The following is a 24,248-nucleotide window of genomic DNA, read 5'->3' as shown; positions in this document are numbered from 1 at the left end:
ATAAATAAATAAATAAATAAATAAGCAAGCAAAATACTGGAGTAATGAAAGTGTCATCCATGGAAGAATGAGCAAAACAATTGTGTTACATTTCAATGGTGAGATACTACACAGCTTTGATTAATTCTTGGAACGAATTAACCAGCTTTTCAGGTCACATTACATGCTACATGCTGTTCTAGTACCTAAAAAATAATCTTTGCTCTCACAGAGCTGGCTGTCTTATGGAGGAATATAGGTAATAAGACTTGGATAGGTAGGAAGATTCGGTGGTTCACAGTGTTCATGAGTGGCATGAATCACTAAATGAATACACCAGGACTACATGTAACAATATGAATGAATAGTGCTGAGTAACAATATGAATGAATAGTGCTGAGTGAAAAAGAAAGTTACAGAAGGATTCATACCAAATGAAACCATTTCTCTGACTTTTTAAGATCTGCAAAATTTTTTTTTTAAGAGTTTCACTCTTGTTGCCCAGGCTAGAGTGCAATGGCACAATCTCAGCTCACTGCAACCTCCACCTCCCAGGTTCAAGTGATTCTCCTGCCTCAGCCTCCCCAGGTAGCTGGGACTACAGGCATGCACCACCATGCCCGGCTAATTTTTTTGTATTTAGTAGAGACAGGGTTTCAAAATGTTGGTCAGGCTAGTCTCGAACTCCTGACCTCAGGTGATCTGCCCGCCTCAGCCTCCCAAAGTGCTGAGATGACAGGTGAGAGCCACCGCGAACAGCCAAGATCTGCAAATTTTTACATACCGTTTATGGAAACATTGGGATAATTAACCCCAAACTCAGGAGACTGGTTATCTCAGAGGAGGGAGGGAGAGCCGTGGGTACCAGGGGACACAGGGTTTCCCTCACCAAATAAAGAAAAAAAAGATCTGATGCGAACATGGCTAAATGTTAAGATCTGGAGAGAGTATGTGGGGAAGGTAGACTGGAGTTGGCCATCTATGGACAGGAGGCGCCAGGGAGGAGGGAGCCTTCCAGGAGGGAGGGGCTGTCTGAACTGACCCTGTTCTCTACATCATTGTGACCAAACGTTCAGCACTTTAAAGAAAAACCAGGCCGGGCGCGGTGGCTCACGCCTGTAATCCCAGCACTTTGGGAGGCCGAGGCAGGTGGATCGCCTGAGGCCAGAAGTTTGAGACCAACCTGGTCAACATGGCGAAACCCCGTCTCTACTAAAAATACAAAAATTAGCCTGGCGTGGTGGTGGGCACCTGTAATCCCAGCTACTGAAGAGACTGAGGCAGGAGAATCACTTGAACCTGGGAGGCAAAGGTTGCAGTGAGCCGAGATCATGCCACTGCACTCCAGCCTGGGTGACAGAGCGAGACTCCGTCTCAAAAAATAATAATAAAGAAATGAAAATCCAAAATGGTTTTGTTTCCCTGGACATAAGCTATCGGCCTGATGGCCTCCTTTCTGTCCTCCAGACCAGGCCCAACCTTACCTCGGTTCATTTGTTCATTTTTGTCTTTGGTGTCCCCACTTCTTGTGAAATTTCAGCCAGAGACTGGTAAGAAAGTATCTGGGTGAGGTGCAGTGGCTCACATCTATAATCCCAGCATTTTGGGAGGCCAAGGCAGGAGGATCAGTTGAGCCCAGGAGTTAGAGATCAGCCTGGGCAATATGGCAAGACCCCTGTCTATACAAAAAAAAAATTTTAAAGAAAAAAGAAAAATAATAATAATTTTAAAAAGTATCTGGATCTCACCTTTGAAACACAGGCTGCTCCCTTCTGTGTGCAAATGGCAGCAGCCCTGGAGCTGAGGAGGGTCTCCTGTTGTCTGAGTTCTTTCAGGGCACATTTCCAGAGCCCCTGCTGGGCGGCTGTTCTGGTACTTGGGATCACACAGAGAATTCAAAGTCCAGGTTTTCCTGGCACTCACGTTCAAAGGGAGAAAACAAAATATACACAAGTAAAATGAAGAGAATAGCCGATAATAAGTGTCACGGAGAAATCAAACAAGAAAACTCGATAGTGACTGGTGTCACTTGGTAGTGCCAAAGTAATTTAGAGGCTTCTTATTTTTTTCTCAAAAATGTTTAAAATAAACTTTCTCAATTAAAAAAATCTGTTTTAGCCTTATGATCCTCTTTTTCTTAAAAAAGAGGGGTATTCAAGTTAAAACAGTGCCATCTTTCCCAACTGTTAGTTGGAAAGAATCGCTTTACTCTTTCTGTCCCTCTCAAATACCTTTGATGTGCCAAGAATGTGGCTTTTACGAGCTGATTCTCCTGATGATAATGTCTGTTCTATCACTGTTCTTGCCGCAAAGAGGTCACAACAACTATTGTCGGAAGAAAAGCCAGCTCTTTCTCTCATCAGTCAGGCCGCTTATCCAGAGATCCACTTATTTAAGCTGCAAAACAAAAATATCAAGGTGAGGGCCGGGCGCGGTGGCTCACGTCTGTAATCCCAGCACTTTGGGAGGCCAGGGCGGGTGGATCATGAGGCCAGGAGACTGAGACCATCCTAGCTAACATGGTGAAACCCTGTCTCTACTAAAATTACAAAAAAATTAGCTGGGCATGGTGGCAGGCGCCTTTAGTCCCAGCTACTCAGGAGGCTGAGGCAGGAGAATGGGGTGAACCTGGGAGACAGAGCTTGCAGTGAGCCGAGATCGCGCCACTGCACTCCAGCCTGGGTGACAGAGCGAGACTCCGTCTAAAAAAATATATATATATATTAAAAATATATATATCTATATCAAGGGGGACTGTGAAGACTGTATGATTTATCTCTTTCTTTTTTATTGTAACTGTTTTTCTTTTTCATTTTTTTTTTTTTTTTTTTGAGACAGAGCCTCACTCTGTCGCCCAGGCTGAAGTGCAGTGGCGCGATCTTGCCTCACTGCAACCTCCACCTCCTGACTTCAAGCGATTCTGGTGCCTCAGCATCCTGAGTAGCTGGGATTACAAGTGCGCACCACCACACCTGGCTAATTTTTGTATTTTTAGTAGAGGTGGGGTTTTGCCATGTTGGCCAGGTTGGTCTTGAACTCCTAACCTCAGGTGATCCACCTGACTCGGCCTCCCAAAGTGCTGGGATTACAAGCCTGAGCCACCACACCCGGCCTGTTTTTCCTTTTCATGATAAACTTCATGGGAAGTATCATTGCTCCTTCTTTCCAGAAACGTTTTATGAGCACTGATCTGTGAAGTGTCGGTTCTCTGATGTGCGGTGATGGGAGGCGCCCTCCTGTGCTCCAGAGGCCTGGCCGTCAGGCACCAACAGCCATGCTGGGCCTCATACGATGGCACAAGTTGAAAGACAGGCTTCACTGGAGACATTCACGGCAGAACAGAGACTCCTTCCAGCAGGGAATTGGGGGCCATTCGTGGCACTGGTGGCATTAAGGCGGCTTTGAAGGAAGGGATTTCCAGATAAGGAGCAGAGGCTGGGTAGTAGCCTTTATTCTCTCTCAGGTATCACCACCCTTGCTGTCTGCTGTCCCGTGTTTGCAAACAGTGGTTTCATTTTTTTCCCAGTTTTTGAGGCTGGAGGATAAATTCAGTCCTTGTTACCACATCTTGAATTGAAGTCTCCCCAAATGTGTTTTTACTGGGGAGACAGTCTCTTCCTCCTGGCAATCCCCACTATCACATTCATGTGGTCACCCAGCATCAACCTAAATAGCAAACAGAGAGGCTCCGCAAAAGAGAAGATGTTTATTTGGGAATGGACCATTGCAGTGGGAATACATGGGCCATTGTAAACTACGTGCCTGTTCAGGGAGGTAAAGGAAGACAAAGGTTTTTAAATGAAAAATGAAGAGGTTTATATGATTGCTTTAAGATGATCATCCTTGGCTACAAAGATCAATAACAAGGGTGACGCCAGTCTGAGATTGGACAGGCAGTTGCTGGGCAGATGTCCTTGCAGAAAAATTGTTTGTGTAAGGCTGTGATGGGCTTCGTGCCAAGCTGTGGTTTTAGCAGAGTCTTTTTTTTTTTGAGACGGAGTTTCGCTCTTGTTGCCCAGGCTGGAATGGCGCGATCTCAGCTCACCACAACATCCACCTCCCGGGTTCAAGCGGTTCTCCTGCCTCAGCCTCCCAAGTAGCTGGGATTACAGGCATGCGCCACCACGCCCAGCTAATTTTGTATTTTTAGTAGAGACGGGGTTTCTCCATGTTGGTCAGGCTGGTCTTGAACTCCCGATCTCAGGTGATCCGCCCGCCTCGGCCTCCCAAAGTGCTGGGATTACAGGTATGAGCCAAGGCGCCCAGCCGAGTCTGTTTCATTATCAGGCATACAAGCCTGAGAACCTGATCTTCATGGCCTTCTCCTCCTCTGTCAGAGTTTTCTTAATTTTTTTTTCTTTTTGAGATAAGATCTTGCTCTGTCACACAGGCTGGAGTGCAGTGATGCAATCATAGCTCTCTGCAGCCTCAACATCCCAGGCTCAGATGATCCTCCCACCTCAGCCTTCCAAGCAGCTGGGAGTACAGGCGCACACCCCCATGCCTGGCTAATTTTTTGTATTTTTTGTAGAGACCATGTTTCGCTGTGTTGCCCAGACTGGTCTCAAACTCCTGGGCTCAAGCAATCCTCCCACCTGGCTTCCCAAAGTGTTGGGATTACAGGCATGAGCCACCATGCCTGGCCAGAGTTTTCTTAACCTTAGTGACTCCATTTTGATTCTGCCAACTTTCACACCAGTGACTTGGTTACTAAGTATCCAAGAGTGAATTGGAATCCTAGAGTCAGTTCTTGCTGTGGGGCTTAGAGTTTGGAAACAGGGTTCAAGCCCAGCTTCCGCTACTAAATAGATGATAGGCCAGGTGCTGTGGCTCACACCTATAATCCCAGCACTGTGGGAGGCTGAGAGTGGGCGGGTCACTTGAGGTCAGGAGTTTGAGACCAGCCTGGCTAACATGGTAAAACCCTGTCTCTACTAAAAATACAAAAATTAGCTGGGTGTGGTGGCGGGTACCTGTAATCCCAGCTACTCGGGAAGCTGAGGCAGAAGAATCGCTTGAACCCAAAAAGGGGAGGTTGCTGTGAGCCGAAATCCTGCCACTGCACTCCAGCCTGGGCGACAGAATGAGACACTATCTCAGAAAAATATTAAAAAATACACATAATACTTTGGGAGGCCGAGGCGGGCAGATCACGAGGTCAGGAGATCGAGACCATCCTGGATAGCATGGTGAAACCCCGTCTCTACTAAAAATACAAAAAAATAGCCGGGTGTGGTGGCGGGCGCCTGTGGTCCCAGCTACTAGAGAGGCTGAGGCAGGAGAATGGCATGAACCCGGGAGGCGGAGCTTGCAGTGAGCTGAGATCTCACCACTGCACTCCTGCCTGGGTGGCAGAGCAAGACTCCGTCTCAAAAAAAAAAAAATGTGTATATATACACATACATAATAATAAATAGATGACTAGATGACCTTGGGCACATCACTTCAACTTTGTCAGGTGGCAGTGATAGTACCAGCCTCACCACAGGGGACATGAGGTGGTTGAGGATTAACAAGAATGTGTGGGCCAGGCGCGGTGGCTCATGCCTGTAATCCTAGCACTTTGGGAGGCTGAGGTGGGCGGATCATGAGGTCAGAAGTTCAAGACCATCCTGGCCAACATGGTGAAGCCTTGTCTCTACTAAAATACAAAAAATTAGCCGGGTGTGGTGGCGGGTGCCTGTAGTCCCAGCTACTCAGGAGGCTGAGGCAGGAGAATGGCGTGAACCCGGGAGGCGGAAGTTGCAGTGAGTTGAGATTGCACCACTGCACTCCAGCCTGGGTGACAGAGCGAGACTCCATCTCAAAAAAGAAAAAAAAGAGAATGTGTGTAAAATCCCTATGTAAACTCTAGAGCCCCATATCATTGTAAGGTCTTTTCATTAGCCATTTTTACAGGCCCCCTGCTTCTAATCAACCAAACAAAGCTAGTGCTCAAGGAATACTTTGACAGTAGCTTAAGCAACCTGTAATTGTAAATGGAAATGAAACACAATTGCAATATTTTGGAAAAATCATAATGTGTTTCAAAGACAAATGCAAATTGTACATATATGTGGAATTAGTCTTTTAGGGATAATATGTAGGTGCCATTGCTACCTCTCAGTCTTTATTTGTATTTACAACCTAAACTACAGGGGCTTTGCCTTTCGCATGAGTATGACACAAGAATAATTTTTGTTTTTGTTTTTTTTAAGAGTCTTGCTCTGTTGCCCAGGCTGGAGTGCAGTGGCACCATCTCGGCTCACTGCAACCTCCACCTCCCGGATTCAAGTGATTCTCCTGCCTCAGCCTCCCGAGTAGCTGGGATTACAGGCACCTGCCATCACGTCCGGCTAATTTTTGTACTTTTAGTAGAGACGGGGTTTCACCACGTTGGCCAGGCTGGTCTCAAACTCCTGACCTCAAGTGATCTGCCCACCTCAGCCTCCCAAAGTGCTGGGATTACAGGTGTAAGCCACTGCACCCGGCCAGAATAATTCTTATATCTGTGCCTTTCCCTACAAATAGTGACAATAAAAGAAGAATAACAGTCACTAACATCATTGGCAGCTTCTCTTGTGCCGTGTGCTGCATTAAGCACCTGGGCTGTGTTATCTCACTGAATCTTCACGGCAACCCCCTGTTGTGAGACTATGATCAGCCTCATTTTACTGATGAGTCAACTGAGACATGGAGAATTTGGAGAATGAAGTGGCAGTTCCTGCCTCCAAAACCTTTAACAATTAAAGCAAATCAAGTGAGATTCTACATAGCCGCAGTGTTTCCAATTAGAGCCTTTGACTAACTTTGTGTGTGTGTGTATGTGTTTTCAGGCTCAACAGACTTCAAGAGAAAAGCAGCAAGTGACCACAGAAACTTATTTTAAGAATTCTTCCCTCACCTGCCCTTTTAAATTTAGAGACAGAGTCTTGCTCTGTTGGCCAGGCTGTTCTTGAGCTCCGGGCTCGACCAATCCTCCTGCCTCGGTCTCCCAAGAAACTGGCACTACAGGTGTGAACCACCACGCCTAGCTCCCCCATTTTTTAAATACAGCTTGAGGGATTATGCTGGAACTTTTTACATCAGTGGTCCTACAAAATTCACTTCTGTTCATTCATTCATTCATTTGGCTCATTTACTTAGCACCTACTGAGTCCCAGGCACTATGCCAAGTATACAAAAATAACATTTTAAAAAATGACTTTTAGAAAAAAAAATATGCTAAAGTGGCAGATAAAAGTGACTTTTATGGCTGGGCATGGTGGGTTATGCCTGTAATCTCAGCATTTTGGGAGGCTAAAGCAGGAGGATCGCTTGAGCTCAGGAGTTCAAGACCAGCCTGGGCAATGCATCAAGACCCCCAAATCAGTTTTCAAAATATATAAATATGTAAATAAAAAGAAAAAAAAGACTTGTAGGGGAAGGCAGCATTAAATTGTGGCGAAGAGCACACGTTCAGGCATCTGTTTGCCTGCTGTGACCCTTGGAAAAATCATTAGGCCCTCTGGGTTTCAGTGTCTTCATTTGTTAGATGGGAATAATAGCAGTGCCTACTGTTAAATGATGTCGTGTATGTGAAGCACTCAGCCAGGTGCTGGGCACTCAGTGAATCTTGCTTAAATGTGACTTTTTTTTCTTTTTTCTTTTCTTTTTTTTTTTTTTTTTTTTGAGACAGAGTCTTGCTCTGTCACCCAGGCTGGAATGCAGTAGCTCAATCTCAGCTCACTGCAACCTCCTCCTCCCAGGTTCAAGCAATTCTCGTGCGTCAGCCTCCTGAGTAGCTGGGATTACAGGTGCATGCCATCATGCCTGGCTAATTTTTGTATTTTTAGTAGAGACGGGTTTCACCATGTTGGCCAGGCTGGTCTGGAAGTCTTTCTGACCTCAAGTGATCTGCCCGCCTAGGCCTCCCCGAAGTGCTGGAATTTCAGGCATGAGCCACCATGCCTGGCTGGAAATCTGTATTTTAAACAGGTACTCCAGGGGGTTCTGATGTAAGTGGCTCTGGGATCATGTTCTGGGAAAACTTAGTTTTCTCATCTGTAAAATGAGAATAGCAATAAAACTCAAAAGTGTTGATAGAAGCATTAAATGTAATTAATTTCATAATACACATGTTAGAAAGAACGTAGGATTGAGGGTCTGCACTGGAGGGCTTTAGTCCTAAATCTGTCTCTAACTTGCTCTGTGGCCTTCTGGAAGGCACTCAACCTTTCTGTGATTCAATTTCCTTGTGTGCAAATGGAAGGGAATGGCGCTGCTTTCTCTCTATCACGGGATTGTTAGGCAAAAGCGCTGAAGACAATGGCTGTGGAAATCCTTTGAGGAGTAGGAAGTGCTAATCTTATGAAACACAGTCCCGTGGAAAATCAAGCAGGCAGCAAAGCAGGGACACATGAAACCCACTCAACAGGTATTTAGGATTTCAGGGAGGACTGGAGACCAGGCAGTCTTGATGTGGCGTGGCCAGGGAACATCCTTGGGGAGCTGGGGAACCTTCTTCCACATGGAAGAAAAGAGCAAATGGGCTGAGTGCGGTGGCTCGTGCCTGTAATCCCAGCACTTTGGGAGGCCGAAGTGGGCGGATCACCTGAGATCAGGAGTTCGAGACCAGCCTGGCTAACACGGTGAAACCCCATCTCTGCTAAAAATACAAAAATTAGCCAGGTGTGGTGGCGGGTGCCTGTAATCCCAGCTACTCAGGAGGCTGAGGCAGGAGAATGGCTTGAACACGGGAGGCAGAGGTTACAGTGAGCTGAGATCACACCACTGCACTCCAGCCTGGGCGACAGAGCGAGACTTCATCACAACGACAACGACAACAACAACAAAGGCACTTGAAGAACTTCAAGACTTTCTGAAGCCTGAGCTTGTATTGGAGGTGGTAGAAGTTCCCCAGGTGTTGCTGGAACTTCAGCTGCATTAGAACCACCTGGAAGGCTTGTGAAACCCCAGATTGCTGGGTCCCAGCCCCGGGTCTGCCGAGTCTGTAGGTTTTGCTTTTCTAAGCAGTTCCCAGATGCTGTTGATGCTGCTGGTCCAAGGACTGTGCTTTGAGGACACTGCTCTCAGTGTTGCAAGCTTGCAACCTGCAGACAGGAACCTGCTGTGATGAGCACAGGGTTTTGTAAAGGTTTGAATGTGAATATGCCTAAAGACAGGTCACACCTTTTTGCCCCAGTCCCCACTGCTCCCTATCGTGCAGTTGGGTGCACCTCACTCATTTATGTTTCTTGCCTGGCCTTGATAGTGGTTGAGTTTTGCTGCCCTGGCAAACTCACAGAATGCTGGAGCTGGGGCTGAAGCTGGAATGAAACCATTTTTTTTTTTTTTTTTGAGACAGAGTCTCGCTCTGTCGCCCAGGCTGGAGTGCAGTGGCATGATCTCGGCTCGGCTCACTGCAAGCTCTGCCTCCTGGGTTCACGCCATTCTCCTGCCTCAGCCTCCTGAGTAGCTGGGACTACAGGCACCCACCACCATGCCCAGCTAATTTTTTGTATTTTTTTTAGTAGAGACAGGGTTTCACCGTGTTAGCCAGGATGGTCTTGATCTCCTGACCTCGTGATCCACCCACCTCAGCCTCCCAAAGTGCTGGGATTACAGGCGTGAGCCACCATGCCTGGCCCCTTTTTTTTTTTTTTTTTTTTTTTTTTTTGAGACAGGGTCTCACTCTGTCACCCAGGCTGGAGTGCAGATGTACAATTATAGTTCACTGCAGCCTACACCTACGGGGCTCAAGCAATCCTTCAACCTCAGCTTCCTGAGTAGCTAGGGCCACAGGCATGAGCCACTACACTCGGCTAATTTTTTATTTTTGTAGAGATGGGGTTTTGTAGAGATGTTGCCCAGGCTGGTCTTGAACTCCTGGGTTCAAGCAATCTTCCTGCCTTGGCCTCCCAAAATGTTGGATTATAGGTATGAGCCACCATGACCAGCCTGGAATGAACCTTTGAAACCTTTCTAGCAAAGCTGTTTGTTGAATGTGGGGAAACTGCAAAATGTGATTAATTGTCCACAGACATTAACAACAATATGTATAACGAAAGCTATATCAAAGGAACCATTCTCTAGCTGTGAGAATAGGACCAAATGCCTTTGCTATTCAATGCATATGATTTTTTTTTTTTTTTTTTTTTGAGATGGAATCTCGCTCTGTCACCCAGGTTGGAGTGCAGTGGTGCAATCTCCGCCCACTGCAACCTCCACCCTCTGCCTCCTGGGTTCAAGTGATTTTCCTGCCTCAGCCTCCCAAGTAGTTGGGACTACAGGCATGCACTGGTCCAGGCTATTTTTGTATTTTTAGGAGAGACAAGGTTTCGCCATGTTGGCCAAGCTGGTCTCAAACGCCCAACCTCAGGTGATCCACAGGTCCCTGCCTCCCAAAATACTGGGACTTCAGGCATGAGCCCCTGCACCCGGCTCGATACATATGATTTTAATTCTCTTGTATCAGGCATAGGGGATAGCGAAATGGCTTCCTTCCACCCTTCTAGGTTCTTTGGCTGGGCTACAAACTAAATTGACATAAGACAGACTAACAGGAGAAAAATCATTTGAATTAACATGCATTCACACAGGAGTCCCACAAAACGTGAGTCTCGAAGAAGGGTCGATGATTGAAGCTTATATAGCATCCTGAGCTGCAGAAAGGAATAGGGCTTGAGGTTTCTCAAGGGGGCTTTGACACAAGTTATGGGAGGGTGATGGGAAGAAATGTATGGTGAATAAGGTTGTCTTGTTACACAGATAAACAGCCTCTGTAGCCAGGCTCAGTGGCATGTGCCTGTAGTCCCAGCCACTCGGGCGGCCAAAGTGGGATGACTTCCTGAGCCCAGAAGTTTGAGACAGTAGTGAATGATGATCGTGCCTGTGAGTAGCCGCTGCACTCCAGCTTGGGCAACATAGCGCAATTTCATCTCTAAAAATATTCTCTCAGGTAATAGAAGCTGTCTGGAGCAGCCCGCTTCCTGATACAGATAGTTTGACTAATGTAGATTTCCTTCATAGATGTAAATTTGTTTTACAAAAGGACAGCTTTTCAGAGCTACTCCTATGTCTGCAGTTTCTCAGAATAACCAGCTCAAAATACGCCAAAGAAGTATATTTTGGGTTGGCATATTCTGGTCTCCTACAGTCATATTTTGGGGTGGTGTGTCCTGAGCCCCACCACAGGATTAAATTCAATAATCAAAGCAGTTAGGACAGTTAACATTTTGGGGGTTCTGCCCAGTTCTGCCCCTTACTAGCTGTGTGACCTTGAGCAGAGGACTTAACCTTCCTGATCTGTTGCTTCACTCATGAAATCTCCTTGCCTGAATTACAAATGATCCCTGGTGGTCAGGTGCGGTGGCTCATGCCTGTAATCCCAGCACTTTTGGAGGCCAAAGTGGGCAGATCACCTAAGGTCAGGTGTTCGAGAGCAGCCTGGCCAGCATGGTGAAACCCCGTCTCTACTAAAAATACAAAAATTAGCTGGGCTTGGTGGCAGGTGCCTGTAATCCCAGCTACTTGGGAGGCTGAGGCAGGAGCATTTCTTGAACCCGGGAGGTGGAGGTTGCAGTGAGCTGAGGTCATGCCACTACACTCCAGCCTGGGTGACAGAGCAAGACTTCATCTCAAAGAAAACACACAAAAAAACAAATGATCCCTGGTAGGCACTCAGTACCTGGCATAGACACAACCATAATAAATGGCACTGAGTTTGGGGTTATTTCAACTTTACCCAGCCTGGAATCTTCCCCATCTAACAAAACATTATTTATACCTTCATCCCTTCTCTTCAAGAAGCAACATGGCAAAGTTGCAAGAAACAGGGCTTTAGCATCAGACAGACCAGGGTTCCAATTCTGACTCTTCCATTTGGCTTTGAACATGTTCAACTTGAAGTTGAATGTCAGTGCTTGAGGTACCAACAGGAAGCCCAAGCAGATGGGGGTTTCATGTAATAACATAGGGAGTCTGGGAGCCTCATACAATTGAAGAATATGTGCCCTAATGTATTCAGATGTTCCAAACTTCCCAGCACTGTGCTGGCAAAAAGAAAACCACTTATGGGCACTTTTTCTCTTTAGTAGCCAGTTTCTGTCCCTATGGTAGGTGCTTGCTAAATATTGGTTCTCAGGTGTGGTGGCTCATGCCTGTAATCCCAGCACTTTGGGAGGCTGAGGCTGGTGGATCACCTGAGGTCAGGAGTTCAAAACCAGCCTGGCCAACATGCCGAAACAGTCTCTACTAAATATACAAAAATTAGCCAGGCCACACTCACGCTTGTAATCCCAGCTACTCAGGAGGCTGAAGCAGGAGAATCACTTGAACCCAGGAGGTGGAGATTGCAGTGAGCCGAGATGGTGCCACTGCACTCCAGCCTGGGTGACAGGGCCAGACTCTGTCTCAAAAAACAAACAAACAAAAAAACAAAAACCACAATATTGGTTCTCCCCCACCCTCCTTGGGATGCAATAGGTCTGTGGGCAGCTTCCTGTTCTTAAGCTCTCCTGAGGGTTGCAGGAGATTGCAGGAGCGCTCCTGAGGTTGCTGCAAAACTTAGCTCCTCACTCTTATTTTCCACAAGCATTTCTCTCCCCAGTGAGATGGGGAACTCGTGGCAAGTCAATTGCACACACTATTTTTATCAGCCCAACTGAGGCAGGTTGCAGGCTTACCAAATCCTTGCTGATGGCTCAGTAAACAACAATGACAAGTTCCAGCTTTACTCGGATCATAGACAGTCTCCAGGCCAGAATTTCTCAAAGCAGAAACCACCATCAGCTTGGGGGCGGGGCGGGGTGGCGGGGGTGGGGGTTGGGGGGTGGGGGGCTGGGGTTGGGGGGCGGGGTGGTGGTGGGGGGCAGTGGAGAATCCATAGGAAAGGCAGCTCTCCGAGCCCCACGCCAGAGCTAGTAACCAAACTGTGCCATAGAGTCTCCACTTTTTCCTGGAGATTCTATGATCGCTCCCTGGGTGTTTTTTTGTTTTGTTTTGAGATGGAGTCTCACTCTGCTGCCCAGGTTGGAGTGCAGTGGCACAATCGTGTCTCACTGCAACCTCCACTGCCCAGGTTCAAGTGATTCTCTTGCCTCAGCCTCCCAAGTAGCTGGGATTACAGGCAGGTGCCACCACGCCCGGCTAATTTTTGTATTCTTGGTAGAAACAGGGTTTCACTATGTTGGCCAGGCTGGTCTCGAACTCCTGGCCTCAGGTGATCCACCCACCTCGGCCTCCCAAAGTGCTGGCATTACAGGCATGAACCACCATGCCTGGCCCCTGGGTGATTCTTATGCATCGGAGTTTGAGAAGCACTGACTTTGGCACCTTCTGACTGGGCTCTAGAACGAGGTGATTGCAAAATTAAACCCTCAACCAGGCAGATTTCTCTGCATGAAGGGTGAGAGCCTGCAGAGGAGACCTGTGGCTGGACCTGTCGGGCAAGGTTGGTGGCCCTTTTATCATTGACATTGTATCCTTTCCCCATTCATCCACCTATTCATGAATGTATGAAACTTTGACTTAGCATCTCTGTTTCTGGTACAGGACTAAGGTCTGAATAAGATAGTGTCAGCCCTGGAGGAAATTACCCTGAAGAGGAAAACAGCAATTTCTCTCTCACACTCTTCTTCCCTGCCTGGGTTTTGGGCTGCCAGTGGCCTTGCAGTGTACTATTTAAAAAACATAAGGCCGGGCACGGTGGCTCACGCCTGTAATCCCAGTACTTTGGGAGGACGAGGCGGGTGGATCACAAGGTCAGGAGTTTGAGACCAGCCTGGCCAGCATGGTGAAACCCCATCTCTACTAAAAATACAAAAAATTAGCCGGGCATGGTGGCGGGGCGCCTGTAGTCCCAGCTACTCTGGAGGCTGAGGCAGGGGAATTGCTTGAACCTGGGAGGCGGAGGTTGCAGTAGGCCGAGATCGTACCACTGCACTCTAGCTTGGGTGACAGAGTGAGACTCCATCTCAAAAACAAACAAACAAAAACCATGTCAGATTAACATCCTCACCTATATGTGAATCAAACCGTGGGATTCGACATATGTACACAGTGTGACGGCAACTGTGTTAAAATGCATTCCCCAAATACCAGGAGATAATAAGTTAAATGTCAAGAAAGAATGCCTGGCCCTGGAGCATTATGGGTGAGTTTTGCTTTCTCCCTCTGTTTTCTTTCTTTTCTTTCTTCCTTCCTTCCTTCCCTTCCTTCCTTTTCTTCCTTTCTTTCTTTCTTTCTGTTTTTTTTTGTTTTTTGTTTTTTTGAGACAGTGTCTTGTTCTGTCGTCCAGGCTGGAGTGCAGTGGTGTGATCTTGGCTCAGTGCAGCCTCTGCTTCCCAGGTGCAGGCGATTCTGAGGTGCCTGCCACCATGCCCGACTAATTTTTTGTTGTATTTTTGTAGAGATGGAGTTTCACTATGTTGCCCAGTTTGGTCTCAAACTCCGAGCTCAAGCAATCTGCCCAACTCATCCTCCCAAAGTGCTGAGATTACAGGCGTGAGCCACCACGCCCAGCCCCCTCTCTTGATTTTTCTATGATTAACATGGGTTACTTTCAGAATTAGAAAAAATAACTCACATAAACATTGTCCTCTTCCTGTGAGTATGCACGTGGGCATGCGTGCATGTGTGTGTGCACACGCCTATGCTTGTGGACCAGGATAGACAGTTGTTTTATGCTTAGAGAAATTATTCATATTAAGTGTAGGGAGGGGGTGGTTTTATTTCACTGTGATCAGAGGGAGACAACTCCTATCTCTTATCACATAGGGCCATTTGATGTCTCATTCAGCATCACTGACACAGGATGCCAGCAACACCTCGATGGGGAATAAGGTACCCCCCACCTCCAAAAGTGAGTTTATCTGGACAATGAAAGTTAACCTAGTTATGCAATTCTTCTCTCTGTAAGTAACTATTCAACAGGCTGGGTGTGGTGGCTCACGCCTGTAATCCCAGCACTCTGGGAGGCTGAGGCAGGTGGATTGCTTGAGCTCATGAGTTTGAGACCAGCATGGGCAACATGATGAAACCCTGTCTCTACAAAAATACAAAAATTAGCCGGGTGTGGTGGGGTGGGGTGTGCCTGTAACCCCAGCTACTTGGGAGATTGAGGTGGGAAGATGGCTTGAGTCCAAGAGGCAGAGGTTACAGTGACCCATTTATTTTGCCACTGCACCCAGCCTGGGTGACAGAGTCAGACTGTCCCCCCACAAAAAGTTAAGCACTTAACAGCAGTGTCTCCAAGACAAATCATGTTTCGCAGCTTTTCTTGAGGATTTAAGGCTCTTGGTGGAGTATGAAGGGCTAGAGGCTCTCCCACTGAGCCATCCCAGGTAGTTGGCAGTGTTTCTGTTTGCTTTCTTGCTCTTAATAGTAGCTGTCACCTTGTAAAGTGCCAGTAACATGACAGGCATCCTCTTCTCAGCTCGTGTCCACAGAGGCTGTGAGGAGCTGACAGGGAGAGGAGGTTGCTGCACCTGCTTCAGCCATGTCACCACCATCTACCGTGTGTGCTCTGTGCCAGAATGGGCGGGGGGAAAATACCTCTCGGAAACGTTCTGTGTCCCATCAGTAACTGTAGCATGTACAGTTCCTGACTTGGAACTAGGCTGTAGGCAGCAATTTCTAAAATTACCCTGAGATGAACTGCATGTGTCCCCCCACAATTTGTAAGTTGAAATCCTAAGCCCGCAATGTGATGGTATTAGGAGGTGGGGCCTTTGGGAGGTGATTAGGTCATCGGGGTGGGGGCCTCATGAGTGCACAAGTGTCCTTGTAAAAGAGACCCCTGAGAGCTCCTCTGGCCCTTCCACTACTTGAGGATGCAGCGAGGAGGCAGAAATCTGCAGCTGGGAAGAGGACCCCCACCAGAATCTGACCATGCCGGCACCCCGATCTTGGACTTCCAGACTCCAGAACTGCAAGAAGGAAACTTCTGTCGTTTATAAGCCATGCAGTCTGTGGTGCTTTGTCGCAGAAGCCCTAATGGACTAAGATGTACCCGGTTTTCCCCATGGGTCCATGTTCTGAAAGATTTTCTACACCGTATAGTAACAACAACGATGGCGACAATGACAACAATAACAATAGCTGTCACCGATGAGGCACCTTCCGGGTGAATGTCACCTATGCTGTCCCACCCAGTCCCCCCCACAGTCCTGAGATGACGGTGACGCAGCATCTCCGCCCCCATTTTGCCTGATGAGGAAACGCAAGGCGTAGAGAGGCTCAGTAGTTTTCCAAGCCCCTGCAGCCAATAGGAACTAAAGGCAGGAGTTGAATTCAGCTCTCTCTAAATTGAGCCTGGTTTTTCCACTATGTTACACTCTTCTTCAGAAACACAAATTAATGAGCGGGCTGTGGTGGCTCATGCCTGTAATCCCACTTTAGGAGTCTGAGGCAGGAGGATTGCTTGAGGTCAGGAGTTCGAGACTAGCCTGGGCAACATATTGGAACCCCGTCTCTACCGAAAAACAAACAAACAAACAAAAAACCCTCAAAAAACACAAAAAGCACCAATTAAGTTATAATAATAACAATAATATTCAAACTACATTATTCAATCCTAAATCCTTTTACTTTCCATTGTGAAAGGATTAGTTACATAAACCGGCTGCTCTTAGTTACCGCACTCTGTTGCTATGATTCTGACATATTGGTTCATTTCTGCAATGCTATTGTGGATATACTGAAATACTGAAAATATACTTAAGGTTCTGCTCACTAGCTTTTTATCCGTCAAGTTATTCTTTCCCTAAAATTCAGGTGAAATTCATATGACACATAGCTAACCATTTTAAAGTGAACAATTGGGTGGCATGTGGTACATTCACTAATGTGCAACTACCACACTTGATTTAATTCCAAAATATTTTTGTCACCCCCAAAAGAAGCCCTATATCCATTAAGCAGTTACTCCCCATTCTCCCCTCCTCCCAGCCCCAGGAAACAATCACTTATCAGCCTTTGAAGCCCGAGGCTCTGCATCTCCCGGTAAAGACCCTGTTCCAACTTGAGGGTTAGCTCTGTGTGTCCCGGGAAGTCATTCCACCTCACTGAGTGGGATTCCCAGCCTAAAGGGGCTAGCTGAGCCTCTGAAGCATCTTCCGAGGGCTGTGCTCCAGTGCCAGGACGGCATTCCTTAGTGAGCTTGGGCGTAGTTTTCCCTTTCGGTTCCCAATGGCCAGAGGTGTGAGGAGACTGAAAAGCAGGTGTGAGGAGACTAATGCCGCTGAGTTTGCTTTTATCACGATGGGATGTGGAGTGGGCTTAATTGCAAAATACTAACAGCAGGACAAAAACTGAGTCTCTGTGTCTCCCAACTTTACCTTCTGTTACCTTTTGTACATAATAGCACTCTTGCAAATGCTCAGCAGGGAAATGCATTTTGGAGGAATATTTTTGAGGGACTTTTGCATATATGAAGGAAATAGCTATTTTTTTTTTTTTGCTTGAAAGCTGTGTGGACCACATGTGCTATGAAAGCACAGCCTTCTTTTTTAATTTTTAATTTTTAAAATCTTGGTTTTTCAAGATTCTTTGCTTGGCCAATGAAAGCACCAGATTCTAATGTTGAAAGTAAAATGTGCATGCTGCTTTCCAGTTATAAAGCATGAAAAACTCATTTTCTTACATAGTCCTCTCAACAACAGAAGATAATGTTATTATTCCCACTTTACAGATAAGAACATTCAAGAAGTCAGAGGTTAAATGACTTGCCCAGAATTGCACAGCTGAAAATGGCAGGCAGGCTTTCCCAACTCCAAAGACAGTGCTGTCTATAGGATGCTGGACTTCTGCCTACCATTGTCAGGGTTGACATCCCGGGGAAACAGAGCAGTCACTACAGAATTGCCAGAGGTTTCCCCGGGTATTATTCCCAGGTTCCCAATGGCTTGAATTGGTCAAACCTATCAGGATCAGAGTGAGCCTAGGCTCATGCTCTCAGCCTCACTGTATCCAGTGAATGGAGACTTTCTCCTCTGAGACACACACATCAGAGTTAGACTCTCCATCCCACATATTTCAGAATTCAGTAGAGTGCAGGCTAGCAGGCATCCAAGCCCTGCCCTCACCTTCATCTATTCTTCCCTGCTTCCTGGACCCCCAAATTTGCATTCCATGTTACGCTCACATCAAACTATTTACAGATCCCAAGCTTGCCTGAAAGTTCCTTACCTCATGCCTTTAACAATTATTATGGTAGGCCAGGCGCAGTGGCTTGAGCCTGTAATCCTAGCACTTTGGGAGGCTGAGGCGGGTGGAACGCTTGAGTTCAGGAGTTTGAGACCAGCCTGGGCAACATGGCAAAATCTTGTCATCACAGAACAATACAAAAATTAGGCTGGGTGCGGTTTTTGGGAGGCTGAGGTGGGCGGACCGCCTGAGGTTGGGAGTTCGAGACCAGCCTGGCCAACATGGTGAAACTCCACCTCTACTAAAAATACAAAAATGAGCCAGGCGTGGTGGTGCACATCTGTAATCCCAGCTACTTGGGAGGCTGAGGCATGAGAATTGCTTGAACCCGGGAGGCAGAGATTGCAGTGAGCCAAAATTGCGCCACCGCATTCCAGCCTGGGTGACAAAGTGAGACCCTGCCTCAAAAAAAAAAAAAAAAAAAAAGGTAAATTGTAACAGTTATGATAATAGTAACAACAATGGTGATTGCTTTCTCCTGGGTCCTATCCATATTAGGTTCTATATATTCGCTATTTCATTTAACCCTCACCATAACCTAACGAAGTCATTATTATCCATTCCATTTCACAGATGAACAAACTGAGGCTGAGAGTGGCTAAGTGCTTGGGCTCTGGAGTCAGACAATCTAGGTACATACCCAGCTCCACCGCTGTCTAATCTGTGTGATCTTGGGCAAATCTCATCTCTCTTCCAGCTGCAGTATCTTAATGCATGACACTGGGCCATGATAAACCTGCTTCATGGGCCTGCACACACTTGGCACCTGCTTAGTACTTTATAAATGTTCAGAATTGTTAATGCTCATTTTATAAGCGGCTCAGCTCTGCCTGCTTCCAAACCCTTTTCCTGCTTCTCCTCAAGGTCATAGTTCAGGACCCAGTGTTTCCCCACCTACTTCTCAGCCCCCACAGCAAGGTGGACATTAGTTCCCTTCCTTTAGGAATGAAGGCACTGGCGCTCGGGTAAGCTTAGAGAGCAGTCCAGGGAGTACTGCTGAAATGGCACCATCTCAGGGTCCCCAGCTCCGAGAACTGGGCCTGGCCAAGAGAAGGCGCAAGGCACCTTTGTTAAAGAATTGGCGGGCTGGGTGTGGTGGTTTATGCCTGTAATCCCCACACTTTGGGAGGCGGAGGCAGGGAGGATCCCTTGAGCCCAGGAGAAACAGGCCAGCCAGGGCAACACAGGGAGACCCACCTCTACAAAAATCTATAAAAATTAGCTGAGCATGGTGGTGCATACCCGTGGTCCCAGCAACTCGGGAGGCTGAGGTGGGAGGATCGCTTGAGCCCAGGAATTTGAGGCTGCAGTGAGCTATCGCATCACTGCGCTACCTAGCCTGGGAAACAGAGCAAAATCCTGTCTTAGACAAAAAAAAAAAAAAGAAAGAAAAAAGAAAAGAAATGGAACAACTGGCTCCTAATCAGGTAACTCAGCACTGAGTATGATGTGAGCACACTCCAACCCCCCTATAGCTGGAGGTGGAGGTGGAAAGACAATGGAAGCCTTTGATGTAACCCTTTTGATACCCTGCTAGAGGACAGCAGAAAGATACTTGAGAGAATGTTGTCTATCTTCCCGAGAAATTTCTGGTTGAATGTCAAGATAATGATAGGATGGGCTTCTGGGCCAGGGGAGCAAGGCAGAGGGAAGGAGAGTATCAGTTTCCTAGGCATGTCCTGTTACAGGGAGAAAAACACAGTATTTTCCATTCTAGATCAGGGGAAAGATGAGGTCTCCCATAATACCTGAAACTGGAATTATGGCGAGGAGCTTTTTATGTGGGAATTTCTGTACTAAATTTAAAGTCCTTGGAGAACCGCTTAGGGTAGCACCGACAGCCCGCACCGTCCCCTCACCCCGCTTTATTTTTCCTCTGGCACAGCACTTAGCACCATAGGACCCATCAGATATTTACGGCCTGTCCCCGCTGCCCCTCCCGGGCAGGGATTTTGTTTTGGTTCGCAGCTGCAGCTCCAGGGCCTAGAACAGCCCGGGCACTTAGTAGGCCCAGTAAGTATCTGCGGGAGGGCTGAATGGGTGCGTGGACAGCATTCCTCTCACTGACCCCGCTGCGAGGTGAGCCAGGCAGGGGCTGTCACCATTCCTGAAGTCCAGGTGAGGGGGAAGCGACCCAGGGATGGGAACCTGGCCGGCCTGAAGGTCTGGAGACCGGGGTTCGAGCCCAAGCCCTGCCTGACAGGCAGTGACCTTGGGGGTCACTCTTGCGCCTCTCGGAGCCGGGTTTCCTCCTCGCACAATGAGGGCGATGACCCCCAATCGCAGCGCGCCCCGCGGTGACTTGCCCAAGGTCACCACCGTCCCGGGCCCGTGGCGCCCCGGCTCGGGAGGACACGGGCCAGGCGGGCGCGGGGTTCTGGGGTGGGGGCCGGCGCGGGGCGGTCCCGGGGCGCGGCGCGCGCTGACGCCGGGGCCCCGCGATGCGGCGGGGACTGGGCGCGGGGGGAGGCGCGTCGCGAGGCGAGCGTCCTCCTTTTGTGCGAGCGCCGGCGGCTCGGCTTCTCGAAGGTAAACAGCGCTTCCTCTTCCTCCTCGCCGCGCCTCTTCCTTTTATAGTTATTTCTCGCCTGGCACTCGCCCGGGCTGCTGCTGCTGCTGCTGCTGCCGCCGCGGCGGGGGCAGCTCGCAAACCTGTGGCGGTGACGTGAGCCCCGCCAACCCGGAAACGGCGGCGGCGGCGGCACCGGAGGCTCCGAGGCTCCTGCGCTCCCGCGCCGCGCTCCCCTCGCCCGCCCGGGCCGCCAGGTACGTGCCGGGGCTCTGAAGGCGCCGCCGCCCGGCCGGCCCGCGCGCGCGCCCCTGGATCCGATTTGCCCCCGGAGAGGGCGCGGGGTGCGGGGCGCGCGCGTGATGGGTGCGGGGAGAGGCGGAGGTACCATCCGGGCCGCCGGGCCGGGCGCTGCGGCGGGTGGACAGGGGGCGCCGCCGTGGTGGGGGCGTCCGGGCCGGCGGGCGCGGGGGTCCCGGGGGAGGCGCCTCGAGTGCGCGGGGGGCGGCGGGCGGACGCGAGGGGAGCGCGCAGCGGGGCCGCCGCCCGGGTCCACCCAGCTGCGGAGCCGGCGCCTTGTGCGCCTCGAGGCAGGGGGCGCTCGGGTCGGGGTGGCTGGTCCCTGGCAGACCCTTCCTGCGAGCCGGGTGTCGGTGCGGGGACTGACCCCGGGAGCAGCGCTGGCCCCCGGCCACCTCCCATCAGGGGCTTGGAAGACCAGTCGCATTGGATTTGAGGAACTAGAGGGGGTGAACAAAATCTCCACTGGCCTCAAGACTTCCTCCTGGGGTAGCCACCCGCCTGTGTTTAAAGAGCACTTCCTCTTCGCCTTTTATCTTTTCATTATCTTTCTTTTTAAATGGAAGTTCAGTGTTAGCGGGTGGGTGCCCTTGCAGCCTGCAGGGCTTTCCTGGGGCTGTGTACACACACACTGGGGTTGGGAAAAACCTGTGTGTCCTTTGAAACGTGTGTCCTGTGTCAGGAGTGGAACGAAGGAGGAATCGAGGTCTTACCATGCTGGAGCTACTTGGAGTGTGCCTTTGCTACCCACCCTGCTGCAAGAGGTGGAGGGGTGCGGAGGGATAGAGCTGGGGCTGCGGGGGAGTGTCACATGCACTTTGCAGCTATGTTTAATTCCTGGCCCTGCCGCTTACTAGCTGTGTGACCTTGGGCAAGTCGCTTACCCTCTCTGAGTCTTAGGGTCCCGTCTGTGAAATGGGCTGCTGCGAGTGGGGCCTTGAGAAAACGAGCGTAGATTTCCTGGCCTGCAGGGGGCGCAGTGATAGAAAGTGTCATTGCCAGTCACCTTGAATTTCTGCATCCCCAGCACCTAGAAAGGGTGCGTTGAAGCACGTGGGAAGCACCCCATAGATAATTGTGAGATGAACGAGTGGGTGGTGAATTTTGAGAGGTGAGTCGGTGTGCTTCCACATTTTGGCTTCCTTGCCCTGTAACATCCATCCAGGATCTCCAGGGAGCAATTTTGCTATCTGGGTTGGATGGACTCCTCCCCTCTCTGAGGAAGACCATCTTGTGAAAATACTGACTCCCTTGTGAAAAAGGGCTTAAACTCTGACTTTGAGACTCTCCCATTCTTGGAAGATTGCACTGGGGGAAAAATAAAAAGAAGGCGTCATTTTGATTGCCACCGCCAGGTGACTGGCTGAGGCCAACAGCCAAGACTGAGCCAGGGCTGACGTCTGGGATGGTTTCCCAGGCCTGGGGTTCCTGTAATGTGGGGGAAGCCCGGAAGAGGTGACTTTTCTACCTTGGTCGGCATGCAGAAGTGGTCAGCTGGCCTGAGTTTTCTTCCTGAGGAGGCACATTGGAATTTGCACTCTAGATCCTTGCTGGGCTCACAGCACGGAGAAGGGCAGAGTGTGTGATGCAGGAGGCTGAAGTGGGTTCCAGCACAGGGAGACTTGGAAATGGTTTTCAGATAAAGGCCAATATATGTTTCTGCCCTTCACTTTGGGAGATTTTCAAGTAATTTTGCTGTCTCTGACAGCCACCCCTTCTCCTTTCTCAGCTCCCAAAGTCTTCTGTGTGCCTCTCTTAGGATCCTTAGCTATGTGGGTCCCCCAACTCCCGACCCCCGTAAGTGCTACTATTATTTTTAAGAGACAGTGCAGACCCTTCTGTGCAGCAGCGTGCTGCAGTTTGAGCATGTGCAGATTCATTTTGTTTGTGTTTTGACAGGGTCTCACGCATTGCTGAGGTTGAAGTAGTGCAGAAGTAGCGTGATCATGTCTTACTGCAACCTTGACCTCTCAGGCTCAAGCCATCCTCCTACCTCAGCCTCCCAAGTAGCTGGGACCACGGGTGTGCACCACCATGCCCAACTAATTTTTTAATGTTTTGTAGAGATGGGGTCTCTCCATGTTGCCCGAACTCCTGGGCTCAAGGGATCCTCGCTGCCTTAGCCTCCCAAAGTGCTGGGATTACAGGTGTGAGCCACTGTGCCCGGCCCAGATTCATTTTTAATGACTGAACTGTGGAGTGGCCAGGGTTACCTGTAAAGGAGAGCTAGGGTTCTCGTTTTCCTGAGACTTAGAGAGAGTGCAGGACTTGGCCCAAGACCTTCAGTCAGGAAGGGGCAGATTGAGGGTCCTTGCCTAAGTCTTCAGCCTGCAGAGCTCACTTTTCTTCTTGCAGACGCTGAGTGGTCTTTGTGCTTCCTCTGGCACCTGACCTGCTGCCTGGCCCATGCAGGAAACAGTACGTGTCTTTTGACAGAATGGGCAGAAGAATGATGGGTTCCCCTTTGCTCTTTGAGGATGTACATTCTTTTTCCATCTCAAGGTCAGCGCACTGGCCTGCAGTTGACCTTGAAATGGTTGTCCCGTGGTTCCTCCCTATGTGGAATCCTGGTCCCTGACAGCTCTTATATCAGGATCCAGAGACCCATGCACACGAAGAACAGGAAGGACGCCCGAGGGACGCGGGTGCCAGGAGGTTGTGGCCTCACCCGTGCTCAGCATTACTGCCATCTCGTTAATTGAAGAGACCACGATTCATGTGGCTTTGGCGGTCTGGGACTTGGCTGTCTTCAGCAAAATCGTCCACCACTGAGCATTGTAAAGGAAGTGTTGTATAGCTGAAAATTCAGATTTTAAGTATGAATTTTATCAGACACACCTTCACTATCTCTTGGCTGTGCAGCCTTCTAGAGGTCACTACACTCTCGGCCCCCTCTTTTCCTCATCTCTAAACAGGCAAAAGAATCCCCGTTGGTCTCCCAGGGCTCCTGAGTAAGAGAGTAAGATCCAAATTCATGCCTTGGTTTTCTTTCTCACTGCTCGTGTGCATGGAACCAAGTTTGTTGCCTTCTTGGAGCCTCAGTGTTCTCATCTGTAAAATGGGCGCATGTGTCACGGGGATGTGTTGCTCCTGGCAGTAGCATAAGCAAAGTCCTTAGCATAGGCCCCTGTTCCCATTGCACACCCCGTATAATAGTGATCACCATCCATGATTATTGTTATCATCATCAACAACAGTAATAATCACTGTTTGCTCAGCAAGCGTATAGGCGTCTCAAAGGCCAGATTCATCTCTCTGTTTTAGCTTGAATTGGAGCTTCTTGAAAGAAGGAAAT

The 24,248-nt window shown here is 48.9% G+C and overlaps 1 protein-coding gene across 63 annotated transcripts in view, besides 4 other annotated features; it reads left to right on the top strand.

Moving 5' to 3' along the window:
• Positions 1 to 20,150: 20,150 nt before the first annotated feature.
• CYRIB (CYFIP related Rac1 interactor B) overlaps positions 20,151 to 24,248 on the top strand; it is a 177,537-nt gene continuing 173,439 nt past the window's right edge. For 34 of the 63 annotated variants that reach the window (NM_001353293.2, NM_001353263.2, NM_001353292.2 and 31 more), the window contains exon 1: positions 20,720 to 20,910. Coding sequence is in view for 2 of the 63 variants with exons in the window: in XM_047421855.1 (XP_047277811.1) it covers positions 20,586 to 20,673 (88 nt within the window). In the remaining 61 variants the exon portion in view is untranslated. Of the gene's footprint in view, positions 20,263 to 20,582; positions 20,674 to 20,719; positions 20,911 to 24,248 lie in introns of those variants that run through there. The other 29 variants (NM_001353252.1, NM_001353305.1, NM_001353274.1 and 26 more) reach the window with 2 other exon arrangements.
• Positions 20,508 to 20,567: a silencer, noted in NCBI's record as "silent region_19545". NCBI's record gives its function as "represses an Ori minimal core promoter by ATAC-STARR-seq in GM12878 lymphoblastoid cells {active_cell/tissue: GM12878}" and the evidence as "EXISTENCE:reporter gene assay evidence [ECO:0000049][PMID:35858748]".
• Positions 20,618 to 20,687: a silencer, noted in NCBI's record as "silent region_19544". NCBI's record gives its function as "represses an Ori minimal core promoter by ATAC-STARR-seq in GM12878 lymphoblastoid cells {active_cell/tissue: GM12878}" and the evidence as "EXISTENCE:reporter gene assay evidence [ECO:0000049][PMID:35858748]".
• Positions 20,778 to 20,967: a silencer, noted in NCBI's record as "silent region_19543". NCBI's record gives its function as "represses an Ori minimal core promoter by ATAC-STARR-seq in GM12878 lymphoblastoid cells {active_cell/tissue: GM12878}" and the evidence as "EXISTENCE:reporter gene assay evidence [ECO:0000049][PMID:35858748]".
• Positions 21,158 to 21,427: a silencer, noted in NCBI's record as "silent region_19542". NCBI's record gives its function as "represses an Ori minimal core promoter by ATAC-STARR-seq in GM12878 lymphoblastoid cells {active_cell/tissue: GM12878}" and the evidence as "EXISTENCE:reporter gene assay evidence [ECO:0000049][PMID:35858748]".

Source organism: Homo sapiens, chromosome 8 (assembly GCF_000001405.40).
Source record: "Homo sapiens chromosome 8, GRCh38.p14 Primary Assembly".
In the NCBI taxonomy this organism is placed as follows: domain Eukaryota; kingdom Metazoa; phylum Chordata; class Mammalia; order Primates; family Hominidae; genus Homo; species Homo sapiens.
Note: the sequence above shows the minus strand (reverse complement) of the source record. Positions and strands in the feature narration are given on the sequence as shown.